Here is a 19,211-nt window from a genome sequence, read left to right on the forward strand (position 1 = left end):
GAAGAACGTTGCCAGTAATGGCCCCAATTTGCTCACACAGTCCTGCGTCTGTGCATTGTATAGTCCTTCCTTACAGTGGCTTTGGACTTGTCCAGGGGATTTGTCTTAGTGGATGAGGCAATAGCAAATGTGACACAAACAGAAACTCACGTTGTGCTTGTAACCCTGAGAATACCATTGTAAGAAGCCAGTGCTAGAGGCTGAAGGGCAAGAGAATGAAAAATATTTAGCTGACAGCTTACCAAGTGCCAGATATGCCAAAAATCTAAGGGAGCAATGGAGTTACTTTCATGTAACTGAGAGTAAAATAGCAAAATAGCACAGGGCTTTCAGAAGCACAGCACAGTTTCCTACTTTGAGGTCTGATTAGTTGCTGTGCCCCCAGAGTGAGCCTGGCTAAAGCAAAGAGTGTCAATAGCTAGGAAGGGGCTCTGCCAATGGGAACATGTAACAACATGGAAGCAATGGGGTGGACTGTCAACAGAAGACATTAGTGGTGGATGCTATGCTTCTTAATGGGTGCTGTGATGAATAACTTTATACGTCAACCTGGCTAGGACACTGTACCCTGATATTTGGCCAAACACCAGTCTAGATGTTGTTGTGAAGGTATTTTTGGATGAGATTAATATTTGAATTAGTAGACTTTGAGTAAAGCAGATTACTCTTCGTAATGTGGGTGGGCTTCATCCCATCAGCTGAAGGCCTTAAGAGAAAAGAAACAGATTTTCTCCAAGGAAGAGGGAATTCTGCCACCAGACCTCCTTAAACATGAATTCATGCCTAGGTCTCCAGCCTGCTGTCCTGCTCTATGAATTTCAGAAGTACCAGTTCTCAAAATTGTGTGAGCAAATTCCTCAAAATCTCTATCTATCTATCTATCTATCTATCTATCTATCTATCTATCTATCATCGATCTATCATCTATTATCCATCTATCTATCATCTATCTATATTTTCTATCATCTACCTATCATTTATCTATCATCTATCTATCTACCATCCATCATCTATCTGTCTATCTCTTTATCATCTATCATCCATCTATTATCTTTCTATCATCCATCTATCATCTATCTATCTATATATCTATATCTTCTATCATCTATCATTTATCTATCATCTATCATTTATCTATCATCTATCATTTATCTCTATCATTTATCTATCTATCATCTATCATTTATCTATTTATATCTATCCATCATCTATCATCTATCTATCCATCTGTACACACACACACACACACACACACACACACACACACACACACACACACATTGCTTTGTCCTGTTTCTCTGGAGAACCTTGATGAGTACTAAATTTCAACAATGTAGACGTATGTTCACCAAGGACTAAATTCTTCCTTCCAATCCCCCTGCCCTTATCCAATGATTGCTGCACATTAATTTTCCTCCCTATGAAATCAAAGTAGCCATTTTATTTAATCTTTCCGCCACAGTCCAATTGTAAGACTAATGCAATTTATTCTGTGTTTTGCATTTGCATGTGAATTATATATATATACACACATATGTGTGTGTGTGTATTTATATAACACAAACACACACACGTAAATACATATCTTTTAGATTCTTACTGATATGATTGAAAGGTACAAATCAAAATATAAACTTTTGACATGATGGCAACATGAAGTTTAACTATCAATGCCACAAACAAATAATTGACACAAATAAAAATCTGCATTGGCACTATAAATTAGGGCAGCACGTGGTCTGAAAGTCTAACCAATATTCCATATATAAGACCAGATTGCAACATTCTCCTGAGACAGCACCACAGTACTAAGTAGAGAAGACTCTAGGAGATTACTCATAAAACCCTCAATGCCGGAGTGGAAACAGCAGAATATATGTGAGAAGGCGGCACAACACTTTGAATCCCATTCACTGTAGTACATCAACAGTACCAAAAACAGCTGCAGTGGGGCTGCACTAATCAAACCACTGCAAATATGGACAGCTTCTCTCCCCGCAGTGGAGGGCAAACACCACAGAAGAAATCAGCCATGGCCATGTCTTGGAGGCAGCTTGGCAATGGACAATGTTGAATATAGGACAGAAATGTGTTCCAACGAAGTAAGTCCATCACACTCAGTGACAACATGATATCATGGTGACATCCTGAGGCAAGGATTACTCCCAGGTCCAGCTCGCTCCCCACCATACTTAGTCTGTCAAAAAGCTAACTTATTAATGCAAATTTACATTAACCAGAATGCCAACTCCAGCTGCAAAGTGGAGACGATCCCACTGACATATACATACATTAAGTAATCTAAGGAGAATCCATCCACCCTGTCAATAACTGAAGATCAGTTCCATGTAGAGTCCTTCATGCCAGAGACAAAGTAAATGAGAAAAATTCACAAAACAAATTCACAAATATTTCTAAGACATGCAATGGCATAAAGATTATAATAGTATCTATATATACCTAAAATACTCAACTTAAATGGCATGATGTAATAAAGCAATCAATGAAACATAACTTACAAGAGAATTTTATGCTTAGAGTCTATGATTAGAAGAGAACTTTCTAAAGGAAGGTAGAAATAGAGAACTAGAAAAAAATAAGAAAATGATGAAAAGTTAAACATGCGATAATAGATATATTCTCTATTAGCATCTGTAAAGGGCTGAATCGGCAGTGAAGAGAATTAGAATTAATGTTATGATGTAGAAACTTAAAAACTTAATCTGGAAGAGAGAAGGGAGAGAGAAAGCTAAAAAATGAATTTTAAAACAGAGAAAATAATAATCGAGATGTAGAAAAGAGTGAAGCATATCAGTAAATGTTGTTTCAAAACAGGAAATGAGAACGAATAAGCAGGCATATAGTTAGTTACAATTATTATAAAAAATACAAAAATACCTACAATTGCCAATCAACATTTTCTGAACTATTATGTAAGAGATGTGGTAATAACTGCTTTACACTGTATGTAATACTTATTAAACCCTCAGGAAAGCACTAAGTAGTAGATGTTATTATTATATGCATTTTATAAATGTAGAAAATGAGCTTAAATAACAAAACAGAAAAAAATTTTCTTCAACTAGGAAAAACCTGAATCAACAGACTTAAATCAGTCACCAAATTTGTAAATACATCACAGAACAAGCAACGAAATGGCAATGGCCCATTTATATTTTGAATTTCAAGGAAAGAAAAGGCATTACAGGTATCTAGGCAGGATAAAAAATCAGTTTTAAAAAACAGCATATGCACAGGCAACAAAACATTCTGCCAAATAATTAAAGGCTTTGAACAACTACATATAATCCTAATAAACTGCTGGGAAAAGTATTGTAGTTTTCCAATAAGTTAGTTAAGATTTCTTTTAAAAAAAGATAGTGTAGCAAAGAGATGACACATTAAATTAGCATATATAAATCAATCATTTTCATATATGTAAACAATAAAAAGTATATATAGGAAGAAAAGACCCACATATAATAATAACACATAATAAAATAACCGAAATAAGCTTAGTAAGAAAAGTGCAAAGTCTATATTTTAAAAACTTTAAAGCACTCCTGAAAGACCACATATCAAAATTGAAGACATGAAAAGATAGAGTATATTCTTGGTTAGAAGACAACTCTGTAACTGAGCTTGGGATTACAATAAGGAGTAGGTTTGAGAAGTGGAAAAATCGGGGTTCCATTTTGGTTGTGTTGAGTTTGACGTTTCGGGGAGAGGCCTTAGGCACTGGAGAAGTGAGTGTGGAGCACTGTGGAGAGGTCAGCATGAAAGTTATGAATTGGAGCATTCTCAACATATGTCACTTAGCAACAGCGTGTAGATGCAGAAAGGAGAGGAACCTAGGACAGAAACCTGAACCTTCCAACATTTATGGATTAGCTGAGAGTGAAAAGCCACCACAGAAGACTGAGACCAAACCAAATGGCCAGTGAAAAGGATGGAAGAGTATGAGTGTGAAATTCTGGAAGCAAAGGACAATCAATTTGTTCAAAGAGAGAATATTCATTCTGTATTCCCAGTGCCTGGCCCATGGTAAGAACTCAATAAATATTTGTTAGATGAATGAAAGTGTGAAAGAAGAAATGGAATTTTCCTAGAAAGATATATTTTATAAAAGTGTACTCACAAAGCAGAAGAAAAACATTTTAGACTAATTCCATATATGTGTATTATACATATATGTAAACTAAAAAAAATCCAAAATTTTAACAAAAAGTTCAAATCCATCTGTATTCTAAAATAATAACAAAATATGACTACATGTCTAATGGTACCAAAATCTCTGATAAAATATTCAGCCAAATGTGTCCTGGATTGCTGTAATAGAAATGAGTTATTAAGTGCTCATTGATAAAATACTGAACACTAAGTCTGCAAATAATATAGACTCATTGGTCTTAAGTATGGTCCTGAAGATCATTCAGCCTTCTCCTCCTGTCTTCAAATGGGCCATCAGAACCTGCTCCCATACCCAGAATTAGTCTCTTCTTCCATCTTGCCACAAAACCCTCTTTCAGCAAATTATTGACTTCTAGAACATCAAACCATCCCTAGAGATCTTCAAACGACCACTTGGCTACCAGAGAGCACACAAGACAGAAACTAGGCATGGGTTTCTTTCTTATTTTAAAACATCTTCAGGGAGTTTTTGATAGAGTTAAAACTAGACTTGGCATTATAACCACTTAGTCTCCCTTCATGACCAGTTTCAAAAGGCATGATTGGTTTCATATAGGCAGCCACCAAAGTAACTTTCATAATATCAGCTACATTATTAACCACATCAAATTGGGATCAGAATAGCCACCAGATTGATTCATTTTCCATGTGCACAATCTGTTACATATTCAGAACAATCATTAATGTTTCTTAACTCTTCTTGAAACCAGTACAGAGCCTTGGATTTTGTCTAGGGTGAATTACTTCATTCAAAAAAACAAACCAACAAATCAGAAACTAATTTTTCAGCCTGTCATAAATATGACTACAGAACATGTATGTTCCTTCCTGGATACATTTGACTTCATCTTGTCATAACAGCTTCTAATGAATCTTAAAAACTTCCTCAAAGTGTTCAGCAAGCAAATAAAATCAGTTTTCCATGCACATTATAGCTAAAACAAGATCCTACCTGTAAATTATAAACAATGATTGTTTCTTACTAGCTTATGATATCTGTGAAGATTTTTCCTGTTTCTTAGATTTTTACTGAACTACACCTTCAGGTTTTTTTTGTTTGTTTGTTTGTTTGTTTCGAGACAGAGTCACGCTCTGTCACCCAGGCTGGAGTGCAGTGGTGTGATTTTGGCTCACTGCAACCTCCGCCTCCTGGGTTCAAGTGATTCTTCTGTCTCAGCCTCCCAAGTAACTGGGACTACATGTGTGTGCCACCACACCCAGCTAATTTTTGTATTTTTAGTAGAGGCAGGGTTTTTCACCGTATTGGCCAGGCTGGTCTCGAACTCCTGAGCTCGTGATCCACCCACCTCAGCCTCCCAAAGTGCTGGGATTATAGGCATGAGTCACCGCGCCTGACCCAGTCTTTACCTTACAGAAATAATACTCTTTTAAATCTACTTCACCTCTGATCCTTAATAGTCTTTGCCAATCAGTAGTTTCCTGATTAGCCATGACTGTGTCAATCTATTTTTTAGCACTGGGATTATTTGTCTGGTCCTATAGTTTTAAAAAAACAGGCATGCCACTGAAGTGAGGCTGAAATGTGAACTTGGTAAGACTGTAGCTTCCCTTCCTATTAATTATCTCCCCTTTCACCTGGTGATAATATGATGCTGGCAATAGCTGCTTTGTCTTTACCTAATTGTTTTAATACCACTTAATCTTCAACAATGAGTATTTTAAAAGCTCATGTAGCAAATGAGCTGGGGGTGTACACAGGCCTTTATGGACAGAATTTGAGCTGCATCTTTTGATGGTATTGCTTTATAAAGCTAGCTTAAAATGAGAAAAAATTAAAACCTTGCATCTTCGTATACTGTTAATTCTAAACCATTTTAAGGCAATAATTACCAGAGGCAGGAACCACAGCTATGCCGAGTTCCTCTCTATCGATAGAAGGGTGTGTTACATAGGTTGGCATATCACTGACCTTTTCTGCAGTCACTGTAATGCCAGCTTTTCATAACTATTGTTTTCTGTTTTCTCAGAATCTTCTCTGAACAATATGCATCTTATTTTCTTTCAGTGATGTGAATTGTTTGCCACGTGTGAAAGGTTTTACATATTTTAAAAAAGCCACTAAATGTAGCTGGGCATGGTGGCTCACATCTGTATTCCCAGCACTTTGGGAGGCCAAGTGGGTGGATCACCTGAGGTCAGAAGTTCGAGACCAGCCTGGCCAACATGGTGAAACCCCGACTCTACTAAAAATACAAAAAAATTAGCCTGATGTGGTGGCACGCGCCCATAATCCCAGCTACTCGGGAGGCTGAGGCAGAAGAATTGCTTGAACCTAGGAGGCAGAGGTTGCAGTGAGCCGAGATTGCACCACTGCACTCCAGCCTGGGCAACAAGAGTGAAACTCTGCCTCAAAAAAAAAAAAAAAAAAAAAAAAAAGTCATTAAATGCTTTGCATATGTAGGATCTTGTTCCAGGCAATGCAAAGTGTGAACTCATAAAAATTGTTCCCTTACTTTGGAAATTAGTTTTCTGCTACAGAATAGACACAATGTCCAACATGGTGAACAGGTTTATGACTTAAATAGAGCGTTTCTCTCTCTCTCACACACACACACCATGTAGGCACGAGAAAAAAAATCAGAATTACAAATAAAATACTGATTTCAAACTGTATTTAAAGATGTAGTTAAGGCAAAATTATAAGTTAATGAGATGTATGTGTCTTATAGAAGGAAAGTTCATTAATTCATAATCACTTGCCATAAATTATATGTACAATTATTTTATGGACATGTATACAGCTGATCCAGTCTAACGATCACCGATGACCTGAATCAAATAATATGGCAGAATTAAGGATGTGAAAAATTGTACAAATATGCTAACTTTCAGTGAAATATGTTTTGACTACCATAAAATTTATATAAATGTTAAAAGCACAGTTCAAACTGAATTATAATTTTTCAGGAGGTTTGCTTGCGTGCCATATTAAAATATCCCTGATGAAACATATTTCTTAAAACCACTAAGAAAAAAGTTCTTGCAATGGGAAAATGATTTATTTACCTGGATCTTCTATAGTTAAGTTCTTTATCAACCATTGAACAATGTCTGAACCTAGAAAAAGAAAAAAGAAAAACACAAACAGATGTGAACATTTTGTTTATACATATTAACTTTAAGAATTCTCCACCTTTGGTGCTCATATTAGAAGGAACTTTTCTAATTGTTACAATGACAGATTAAGGATCTACCCCAGATGGAATGCTGAAAACACAAAGTATGGATACTTAGCTGTCCATCAATAAACCAAGGTGTAAACTAGTAAATTATTAAATATGAAATATGTAAATGGAAATAAAATTTACTGTACTAGTAGAAAGTGATTTGTTTACTAAATAAGTGTTTATTAAGCATCTCCTATATTTCAGGTACAAGTCTTAGCACAGCATAACCAGTATTTTATAAGGTAGTTCCTGTCTCATTTTTGGTTGTACCCACCTCATCCTTGTATCCCCTCTCAAGTCAAACCAAATTTGTTTTTGGTTTTCGAACCCTCTTACGTATTTCAAGTCTCTGTGTCTCCACAGCAGTACTCTCCCTGACCGAAATGTCTTCCCACTATTTTTAAGACACTCAAGATTCACTGATATGACAGAACTTGCCTTGGCCCTTCCCCTCGTCCACTGAGTTCACAGTACTGTCCATGAAACCTCATTGGAACCCATGCAGTCTTTTATTGTCGTGTTGATCACACACCATTGCCCCAGCTGTTTATTTGATGAATGCCCCAAAGTAAGAACCTTGAAGCAGGGTGTCATATTCATCTTTGATTATTTGGAGCATAGTAAGTGCTTAACAATGTGTGATGAATACAAAGTATGAGCAAATATGTTTCTACTTCACACAGAAGAGACAAGAGAGGTCTGCAGAAAACAATGTTTGAGCTAGATTTTGAAGGATGTATTTTTATCTATGAATAAGAGAGAAATTTAGTTGCTGAAGGGGCCTACGTAAAAACTAAAAGGTGGAAAAGCAGTCAACAGAAATAATTTACTGCACACTGTCTATATGTAAGTGCTGGGAATAATAGAAAATTGAAAGTAATAATGGAGTGCACAGTATATTCAGCAGGTCTTGAATTCTAGGCTAAAGAATTAAATTTTCTTTTTCCCATAAGGAAAGCAGAGAAAGAGACATGCAATATTTTTGAGCAGAAGAATGACATTATCAAAGTAAGTTTGAGGAGTATGACTGGCAATATATATGAAATGCCTTGTAGTCAAAAAGAAGGCAAGGCAGTCGACATGTCTACTAGTTGCAATCCAAGGATGAAGGGAAAAGGTCTTAGTTCAGTGTACAAAGGAATTTCTTAAAAAATTACAGACTTCTTTCAGGACTTTACGACTAATTAGGTATAAAGGTTATAAGTAGGAGAGATTAAAAAAGAAGTCAAGGTTTCTAGCCCGGAAGCATAGATGAATAGAATGATGAAAATAAGAGCAGAAATGGGAGATTTAGCAACTGATTTGCTTGAGACATTCATTTGTATTTAAAATTGGTTTTCTGCATAACTCTTTTCTACACAAAATAGGAAAAATATGTATGTGAATTGTTTGCATACATAGTAAACTGTGTTATGCCTGCGTGAATTGAATCAAACTTCAGTGTGAACCAAGATTCCATTTCAGCCTCTCCTGGAGGCTGGCTAGAGTTGCTGTCTACCCACCTCGGAGATTTGGCAAATTAATTACATTAACATTGGCAAAATAATTCTAGCTGCTTGAATTAAACCAGTTCAAAATCAATTTAAGAATAAATTTGATTACTAAACTTGACAATAAAGTCCCAAAAGTTATGAGAACATTCATACTCAATGTCAATTTCAGCATGCATGCATTTAAAAAAATAACTCCAAGTATTGACTTGAACTTGTGTTCCTTTTACAGCTGCCATGGATTTAAATCATTTGGGAAGACAGACTCATCCAGATCCTAAAGGAAGTTTTACTAAAACAGCTCTAAGGGTCAAATGGAAAGGAGATCATTCTCCAGAAGGCAGTTGACCGTGTCCCGGTGTTGTGTTCAACCTTATAGTCTTAGGTTATCTGGAAGCACGATCTTCCCATTGAAAAAGAAAAGGAGAACTCAGCTTTTCACATATACATGTAGTGATCCTTGACCAATGTCGATTCCCAGATACACAAATCTTCCGCACAAGCCCCAAGCACCCTGCTCATTTTTCAGAGTTGAGCATCTATTTGTGGAACATATGTGAGCAGCCACTGGAAATTTTCCATTCTTTTGAAGACAGCCAAACATTCATTCCAGGACTATACATATTTTTTATTGTGAAAAATGACTTGAAAAATGCTCTTAGAGACTAAGTTTTTAAAAATATTCTGTTCTGTTACGCTTTCTTTCCTTTTCTTTTTTTTTCTGGGCAGAAAGAAATACAAAGAAGCCTAATTTAAAAGTATGTTTAATTCAGAGAATAGGAAACTTTCTTTCTTAGCCTACTTTTGAGTATTTCTGTCACAAGTGTATTCTCAGTTCAGCTCTGAAGGAGTCAATTTAATTGGACTTGACCAACTGCTAGTGCCACTTAGCAGATGCTGTAGTAGTTTTTTTATTGTGTGATCGCCCCAGCATATTTATGGTTTTAGGTTATGGATTTTTAAATTGTTAAATTCTTACCCAGACTCACCATGTTAACCTATGCTCCATCTGTAAGAGTAAGACCTCAACTCCTTGAAGAGATAGGTAGAGAGAGAAAGAGGAAAAAAATCCAGTATCTTATTGGAACCAGAAGACTGAAAGAGAAACGTGCTCCTATAGAGTCATCTTGAGAAGCATGACTCAAATTTAAAATGGAGCATTACAGTCCAGAGAAGTGTAGTAGGAATGCCACCTTTACAGCAATTTTCCAGCTTTATATTAAATAAATAAATAAATAAATAAATAAATAAATAAATAAATAAATGGCTGGGTCTGCTGAAGTTTTTCACATATAATGTATATGTAGAAAATTGTAGCATTCTATTTACCTTGATTTTGGAGCCCTCAAAGTAACCTGTGGAATTTTTTGAAATCACACTTTCACTGTAGCCTATGGAAAGTTTATACAGGCATATGTCACTTTTAGAGTTGCAGAGCTTTGTGCTCCGTCTGCTCAGCAGAAGCAGTAGAGGTTTTATTACTGTCGAATCCTAGCAGTATATTATTTAAAATGAAAACAAGCAAAAACAAACAAGCAGAATTCTTCCTCATCACACTGCTCATAGTTTTCTACCTGCTATACTGTTTCTTCCTTCCATGATTTTGCTAATGCTCTTCTATCTTCATCTCTTTTTCCTGTGGTGAATCCCAACTGAGGCCATAAAGTTCAATTCAAACATTATCTACTCCAGGAAGCCTGTTGTGCCCACCCCTCAACAAAAGATTGAATGAATAAATAGCAAGACTCCCCTCCCCAAATTCTATTTTCACAGAGTTTAAAAAGAATAGTATCCTTCATGCAAAGAATATTCTACTGGCATGTAATTTAAACACCACTATTATTTTTTTTTTTTTTTTTTTTTTTTTTTTTTGAGACGGAGTCTCGCTGTCGCCCAGGCTGGAGTGCAGTGGCGCAATCTCGGCTCACTGCAGGCTCCGCCCCCTGGGGTTCACGCCATTCTCCTGCCTCAGCCTCCGGAGTAGCTGGGACTACAGGCGCCCGCCACCTCGCCCGGCTAATTTTTTGTATTTTTAGTAGAGACAGGGTTTCACCGTGTTAGCCAGGATGGTCTCGATCTCCTGACCTCGTGATCCGCCCGCCTCGGCCTCCCAAAGTGCTGGGATTACAGGCGTGAGCCACCGCGCCCGGCCTAAACACCACTATTATTAAACATGATGTTAAATTGATCTTAAACTTCAACATTATTTTTTCACCCATGCCACGGATCTGAACGGCAAACGAGCTTCCTTACCTGTGCCCCCTGCAGAGTGCAAAGGCCTGGACCAGGCTCTGTCCTAAGCCTGTATTACTTCCATTACGGTCCACGTCTGCACCCCTCCCCAGGATTAGAGCACATCCTCAGCTACAAGTGTCACCTACAGCTATCCACAAACTAAATCTGAATTAGAGGTGCACAAAAATATTAAGCATTCATGAAAAAAATTGCAAAATATTTGTAAATATAAGATATGAGGACTCTGTAAGCAAGCAAAATAGAACACATTTGATTTGCATCCTTTACAAAACTCAAGTATTTTCATAATTTTCAGCTAAAGACATTAGTGAAAACTTGAGCTCTTAATCACCATAGAAGGTGCGCAAATTATTCCTGAGGCAAAGACGCTGACCTTTGCAATGTTTCTCTTTCAGGGAAATGGAAAAGCTCTTTGTACTGCCCAAATACCTTTGCTGAAGCCTCAGAACCACATAGACACAGTGCTGACAATACAAATATTTTTATTTAGTGAATATCATAAATAATCCTTAATCCATGATTTTTGATGTTATAACTATTCTTCTTTTTTTTTTTTTTTCCTTTGAAGACAGGGTCTCACTCAGGCTGCAAGACAGTGCAACAATCACCTCATCGCAGCCTCAACTTCCTGGGCTCAAGCAATTCCCCCTGTCCCAGCCTCCCAAGTAGCTGGGATTACAGGTGTGAGCCACCATGCCCGGCAATTTTTTTTAATTATTATTTTTTGGAGGATGGGGTCTCGCTATGTTGCCCAGACTTGTCTTGAAATCCTGGCCTTAAGTGATCCTCCTGCTTCAGCCTCCCAAAGCACTGAGATTACATGGCATGAGCCACCAGGCTCAGCCAACTATTCTTAGAACCTCTCACTAAATAGAAGACTTTCTATATACTAAAAATCATTTTTCCAACATTATTCTTTGTTCCTTGAAGTAGGCACAATAAATGTTTATTATCATCAAATAGCATGTAATAAACATCTATTGCGTTTCTGTAGAAGTTTGGCTGAGGATCTGCACTTTAAGGAACAAGAAAGAAAGAATGTCTAGCGAAGCAAATTAACTGATCTGTCAGTCCCTTGAGAGAAGAAACGACATCATACTCATCACGTTTCCACCATTCTCTTCAAAGTGCTTCAACACAGATCATCGTTAAATGTTTACTGAAGGCATGAGTCACTATTTATGGACATCTACTCTATACAGAAAAGACTCCAAATGCTGAAAAAGTCAGCTCTAATGGTGACTCCATCTAGTATGTTATGACACCACAGTGTATCTCTCATTATCATAATTTAAAAAGTTCTTCATGCAATTATAATTTTAACTCAATTTAATTTAAAACACGGCAGAATTTCTTTAAATTAAACTCAATTGAATTTCTTTAATTTTTAAATTAAACTCAGTTTAAAACACTGCAGAATTTCTGTAATTTAAAACACTGCAGAATTTCAGTTTAAGTTAAAACACTGCAGACTTTCTGTTTGAGAAATGAAGTGATTTGCTTAAAGCTAGCATATTACCCTTTTGTAAAGCTGAATTAATGAACTAAATTTCTCCACAATCTTTCCAATAAGTAATTGCTAATATCTAAGAATAACATTTTGTTTATTTGAGTACTTGTGTCCTGTCCAGAGCCTTAAATATGATTGCACAGCCATTGTCACATCTGAGGGTTCAACAAAGCAACCTTCAACCAAAGGAGCAGGAGAGATGAACTCCAGCCCAGCTACAGACTATGTTCTCTAACCCCTTGATCTAAGAAATCTCAGCAATGGCAAAAATCTGGATATCACCAATTAATGGCCGGTGTCCTAGTTCTGTCTGCCTTTGGCCAAAAGCGGGTACTGAAAAAAGAGAAAAGCAGCCACTGGCTTCCAGGAACTGGCTGGGCACTCACAGCTATGTCTTGGTGCTTCCTTGGTAAATATGAACAATTTCTTAGAAGAACATTAACACCGGACAAGGCCACTCTAGAACCCTCATAGGTCAAGATAAAAACAAGACCACTCTGTAATCAGATCTGAACACAAACAAAACATGAACATGGGCTGAGCCATAAAATATCAAATTCCATCCTGGATAACATGAGCGACTGCTGCTTCTTTATCAATGCCATATTTAGTCTTGTCTAATCTGTCCTCCTGTAGAAAAAATGTATTAAGATACCCAATCAGGCCGGCCACGGTGGCTCACGCTTGTAATCCCAGCATGTTGGGGGGCCGAGGCAGGTGGATCATGAGGTCAGGAGATGGAGACCATCCTGGCCAACATGGTGACACCCTGTCTCTACTAAAAAAAAAAAAAAATTAGCTGGGCATGATGTTGCGTGCCTGTAATCCCAGCTACTCGGGAGGCTGAGGCAGGAGAATCAAACCAGGGAGCTCGAGGTTGCAGTAAACTGAGATGGCGCCACTGCACTCCAGCCTGGCGACAGAGTGAGACACTGTCTCAAAAAAAAAAAAGATACCAGATAATGGAATTGTCCCTACTTCCTGACAGCACCCAATCTAGAGCAAAGGCCCACTTCCTCAGATCCTCTCCATGACTACCAATGCCAAAATCCTGTAATAGATTCTTCCTAAAACCCTATTACTGAGACACCCCATGGTTCCCGATGGCGTGCATTCTCCCTACCCTCAAGAAAGAATAAAGTTGACTTGTTCGACTATAGGCGTGTTCCTGGTGGTTTTGGGCTAGAGGCATCGACATTTTTTTAATTTAAAAAAATTGCTAATATCTATTAAGATTAATATAACAACAACAACAAAATTTAAGTTACTTCATCAGGGCGCTTTTGGTTGTAAAGAGTGATCTTTGAGGGAAGTATAAAAACATAAACTTATCAAAGAAGGAATTTGCAAAAAGGTACCCAGAACTAAAGGGAAAGGATGTATTTAGGCCTCAAGGACTCATGGAGGCAGAGACTGTCATCCTTGCTCCTTTCTGGACATCTTCATTTCTCTCTAGGAAACAACCTTTGCTATTTTCCATCCACAAAGTGGGTCATGAAGGCTCACAGCTCCTGGGTTAAAATCTCTGCCACTGAAGACGGCAAGACATTTGAGGCTGAAATCTTTTAGTCCTAAGTCTTAATTCCTGATGAAGGGTCTCAGCTGCAGGGAGGTGCCCATTCCTGTATCAGCCAACTGTGGCAAGAAAAGATGGATCACTGTGCATAAAAATGGTCATGCTGGCGAGAGGTATCGATGGAGGCATTTTCCAGAAAGAATGAGTGCTTTGCAGACATAACAATGGGTGTAAACTACAGCTTCCTTCCAGTTTGTAAAGCTTTTATGTTTCATCATAAAAAAAAATGCAGAAAAGAGAGGAAAAGTGGAATTCAAAAGCAAAATGTCAAATTTTGAATGAAACGAATATGTTATTCTGCCTTGCTATGAATATAAATGTGTTTTGTTCTATGAACTTATTATAGTCCCGTAAAGCAGAGTAGGAATACATTGTTTTTGTGTATGTGAATGAAACCACACTTTATGTGCACTAAAACAGCTACTCAAAGAAACTTCGTGATGTGTATATGATTTTGTGTTTTTATGAGTGGGCATATTTTTAAGTAAATAATTCACTTTCTAAAATGAATAACATGTAATTGAGTATTGTTACTTCTGGATTTTTATACATCAGGTATATCTAGAGAAAATTATTCAGTTTTCATAGAATTAAAAAGATTAACTTCTGCTCACAGTTTGAAACTGGATCAAACTTATGATATAAAGCCCTTCTTCCAATATTCCATAGCTAATAACACCTATGAAATCTCAAAGGTCAATGGAAACAAAATAATCAAAACAGATATGTTTCCTTTCAGTAAACCTCAGATACATTTGAAGCATTTGCCTACGAGACTTTAAAAATGTTGTTCAGCAGTCATTTAAATGCATTTGCAGATGTCATGGCAAAAAGCAAATTATCTGGTTGATTACATTTTCTTTCTAGGTTGTTGCTCTTTAGAGTTCTCTGCCCCTTGCCCTAAGAGCAGAGTCACAGAAAATGTTGGGTTTTGTTGATATAACTTGAATCTTCAAATCAACAGGATAGAAGCCCGATATTCACTGTAATTACTACTACTGTGTTCTGAGGATAGGAAAAGTAAAAATATATTTCCCTACCCTCTGGCAAGGTACAATGAAAACAAATTAGAGTTCTGTGGTAGAGCTCCTTGGCTGTTCCTTGAGCAGACATTTTCTCAAGATCATGGGGATTTAACTAGATTTTTAATCTTTGTTGTGTAAGTTCCAGAAATCATAAAAATATCTCTTCAGACGCAAAGCAGGCATTTTGTCTCTCTTCAAAGCCCAAGAAGCTTTAAACCTAGGCAGCAAAAACAGCAAGGCAGCAAAGATGACAATAATGAGGAGATAAAAGGTAATGGAGACCACCCTCAGGATTATTTCCTGCCCTCTACTGGAGCTCAGGAGGATTCCTTATCAACCAGAGAAGCTTTTCCCAAGTCGCATTCAGAGAAACATCACGTCTGCCTCTTGTGTGGGATGGTGACAGTAAGTGTGGGAAATGCGGAGTTAAGAGAAGGAAGGAAAATAGGGTTCCTTGATGTGCAGCCTTTATTTTGATAAAGCAAGTTGTAGAAAAATCAAGAGAAGACTAAGTCCGCAGTGTTTCCTTAGGATGGGGATATTGGATCCCTTTTTAAAGACCATTTTATATTTTTATGTTTTAGTTCTATGGTTCTTTAGACTCAAAGAAAATAAAACAAGTAATAAGTGTGTAAAATGTTCAGATATAACTATGAATTTTGGGTCAGCTACCATATTGGAACACATTAGAATAAATTATTTATTAATCGATTAATCAATTCCATATGCTAGCTGGTAGGCATAAAGAAAATCCTAGTGGATCATTCTTGCCCTCAACACATATATTTTTTTCCAGCTACACACAGGCCATGTCTAACTGTCTAACTGCCTCTATGAAGGACATAGGAGATAAAGAAAATGTTTATTGATCGATAAATTAAAAACTTGCTCTTGACTGGATAGGCACAGACCTCATCAATCTAGTCCAGACACAGTTGCTGTATCTGTTGACAGGTAGAGATAATACTTTTTATTCTTTATTAGCAGAGAGTACCAGCATTGGTCAAGAGGTGGATGAGGCAGAAGGTACAAGTAGATCAAAGAGGATTCCAATTCCGGAAATTTCCCAGTTCATTAAAGATTGACAAAATGAATGCACTTATGCATAGTCAAAACTACAGCTCAGGCCGGGCGCGTTGGCTCATGCCTGTAATCCCAGCACTTTGGAAGGCTGAGATGGGTGGATCATGAGGCCAGGAGTTCAAGACCAGTGTGGCCAAGATGCTGAACCTCGTCTCTACTATAAATATGAAAAAAATTAGCCAGGCGTGGTGGCGTGCGCCTGTAGTCCCAGCTACTCAGGAAGCTGAGGCAGGAGAATCACTTGAACCTGGGAGGCAGAGGTTGCAGTGAGCCAAGATCACGCCACTGCACTCCAGCCTGGGCGACAGAGCAAGACTCCGTCTCACAAAATAAACAAAAACAAAAACAAAAACAGAACTACAGCTAAGGCCAAGTGCTTTTGTGCCAATCCTAATTATTTTGGCACTGAACGTGCTCTATATAGTGCTATGTATAGACCAAGGCCCAGATTGAAAAGAGTGAATCTTTTTAAAAATAACCCTGAATATTTCCTGCTGTGACAAAATATTGAAAATACCAATTAATGATGCCATTTTTGGGGTTCTATTTAAAATGTTTTCTATTATTGAAGATGTAATTTCAATACCATGAGGTATTGAATGATCACGAGGTCAGGAGTTCAAGACCAACCTGGCCAAGGTGCTGAAACCTTGTCTCTACTAAAAATACAAAAAAAAAAAAAAATATTAGCCGGGCATGGTGGCGTGCACCTGTAGGCCCAGCTACTCAGGAACCTGAGGCAGGAGAATCACTTGAACCCAGGAGGCAGAGGTTGTAGCGAGTCGAGATTGCATGACTGCATTCCAGCCTGGGTGAAAGAGTGAAACTCCATCTCAAAAATTAAAATGAAATTTAAAAAGAAAGAAAGAGGGAGAGCGAGAGGAGGAAGGAAAGAAACAGAAGGAAGGAAGGAAGGAGGGAGGGAGGGAGGGAGGGAAGGAAGGAAGGAAGGAAGGAGGAAAGGAAAGGAAAGGAGGAAGGAAGGGAGGGAAAGAAAGAAGGAAAGAAAGAAAGAGGAAAGAAGGAGAGAAAAGAAAGGAAGGAAGGAAAGAAGGAGAAAGAAAGAGAGGAAAGAAAGAAAGAAAGAAAAAGAAAGAAAGAGAGAGAGAGAGAAAGAAAGAGCCAAACTATTTTCCAGAGGGCCTGAGCCATTTTACATTCCTACCAGCGATGTAGGAGTGATTCAGTTTCTTCCCATCCTTGCTAACATTAGTGTTCCTATTTTTTAGTTCAACCTTTCTGATAGTATGTGTTGATTTTCATTTGTGTCTGCCTGGTGGCTAATGGTATTGAACATGTTTTCATATGCTTTTTTGGTGTAGGTACATCCTTTTCTGTGAAACGTCTCTTCATGTCTTTTGACCATTTTCTAATTAATTTTTTTTGCTATTGTTTTTTCAGTTCTTTTTATATTCTACATACTAGTCCTCTCTTGGATATGTGGTTTACAGATAATTTCTTTTACTCTGTACCTTGTTGTTCCACCCTCTTCACAAGGTCTTTTTCAGAAAAAAAAAAAGTTTTTAATTTGGATGAGGTCCAATTTATCAACTTTTTATAGATTATAGTATTAAATCTAAGAACTCTTTGCCTAGACCAAGATATCCAATAATTTCTCCTACTATTTTCCTAAATTTTTTTTGTTTTAATTTTCCATTTTGTATTAGTGTTTGTATAAGTTGTGAGACTTAGGTGGAACTTCCTTTTTGCCCGTGAATGTCCAATAGCTCTAGCACCATTTCTTGACAAAGCTATCTTTCCTCAGTTGAATTGCTTTTCCATGTTTGTCAAAAATCCATTGTGTCTATTTGTGTGGATCTATTTCTGGATTCTCTATTCTGTTTTATTGATCTACATGTCTATCCTTCTACCAACACCACACAGTTCTGTTTACCACAGTTATATAATGTCTTGAATATATAATATAAACATAAAATAAATTCCTCCCACATTATTTTTCTTTCAAAATTGTTTTACCTGTTCTACTTCATTTGCTTTACCTATAAATCTTAGAATTATCTCTATATCTACAAAAAAATCTTGCTGGGGTTTTGAAAGGAATTTCATTAAACTTGTGTATCAATTTGGGGAGAACTGGCTTTTATACAAGGTTATTCTTCATGGATTTGAAGTATGTCTCTCCATTTATTTACATCTTCTTTTATTTCTTTCACCAGCATTTTGCAGTTTTCAGCATACAAGTCCTGAACAAACTTTATTTGATTAACACCTATTTAATTTTTGGGCAATTTTAAACAGTATTGTGTTTTTGATTTCAGCATCCACATGTTCACTGTTAGTATATAAAAATGTAATTTACTTTTGTATATTTATTGCATATCCTGTAATCTTTCTGGACTCGATTCTTAGTTCTAGAAGGTTTTTTTGCAGATATTTTGGGATTTAACAGGTAAATATAATACCATCTGCAAAGAGGGGAAGCTTTAATTTCTTCCTTTCTGATCTGTGTATCTCTTATTTCCTTTTCTTGCTTTATTGCCCTGACTAGAAATTTCAACATTATGTTAAATAAATCCTCACCTTGTTCTCAATTTTAGAGGAAAACATTCACTCTTTTACAACTACATATAAAGTAAACTTATTATTATTACTATTATTATTTGAGACTGTGTCTCCCTCTATTGTCCATGCTTGGCTAATTTTTTAAATTTTTGTAGAAATAGTGTCTCACTATGTTGTCCAGCCAATGATCTCAAACTCCTGGTCTCCAAGTGATCCTTGCACCTCAGCCTCCCAAAGTGCTGAGATTAAAGGCATGAACCACAGCACCTGGCCTAAAGTTTTTGTAGATGTTCTTTATCAAGTTGAGGAATTTCTCTTCCATTCCTGTTTTTTGAAAGTTTTTATTATGAATAAGTTTTGAATTTTGTC

The 19,211-nt window shown here is 37.0% G+C and overlaps 1 protein-coding gene across 22 annotated transcripts in view, besides 1 other annotated feature; it reads right to left on the minus strand.

The window, feature by feature from the left end:
* The window catches only part of RGS7 (regulator of G protein signaling 7), a 582,489-nt gene that overhangs the window by 201,119 nt on the left and 362,159 nt on the right, over positions 1 to 19,211 (minus strand). For 20 of the 22 annotated variants that reach the window (NM_001374811.1, NM_001374814.1, NM_001374813.1 and 17 more), the window contains one exon: positions 7,219 to 7,269. The exons of the other annotated variants lie outside the window; for them this stretch is intronic. In NM_001374811.1, the coding sequence (NP_001361740.1) occupies positions 7,219 to 7,269 (51 nt within the window). The remainder of the gene's footprint in view (positions 1 to 7,218; positions 7,270 to 19,211) is intronic. 22 annotated transcript variants of the gene reach the window in all.
* Positions 8,158 to 8,327: an enhancer, noted in NCBI's record as "experimental_6394 CRE fragment used in MPRA reporter constructs". NCBI's record gives its function as "activates a minimal promoter by MPRAs in K562 erythroleukemia cells, with activity observed for both the introgressed and non-introgressed 1:241147403 variant alleles {active_cell/tissue: K562}" and the evidence as "EXISTENCE:reporter gene assay evidence [ECO:0000049][PMID:34662402]".

The sequence above is a fragment of the Homo sapiens genome, chromosome 1, assembly GCF_000001405.40.
Source record: "Homo sapiens chromosome 1, GRCh38.p14 Primary Assembly".
In the NCBI taxonomy this organism is placed as follows: domain Eukaryota; kingdom Metazoa; phylum Chordata; class Mammalia; order Primates; family Hominidae; genus Homo; species Homo sapiens.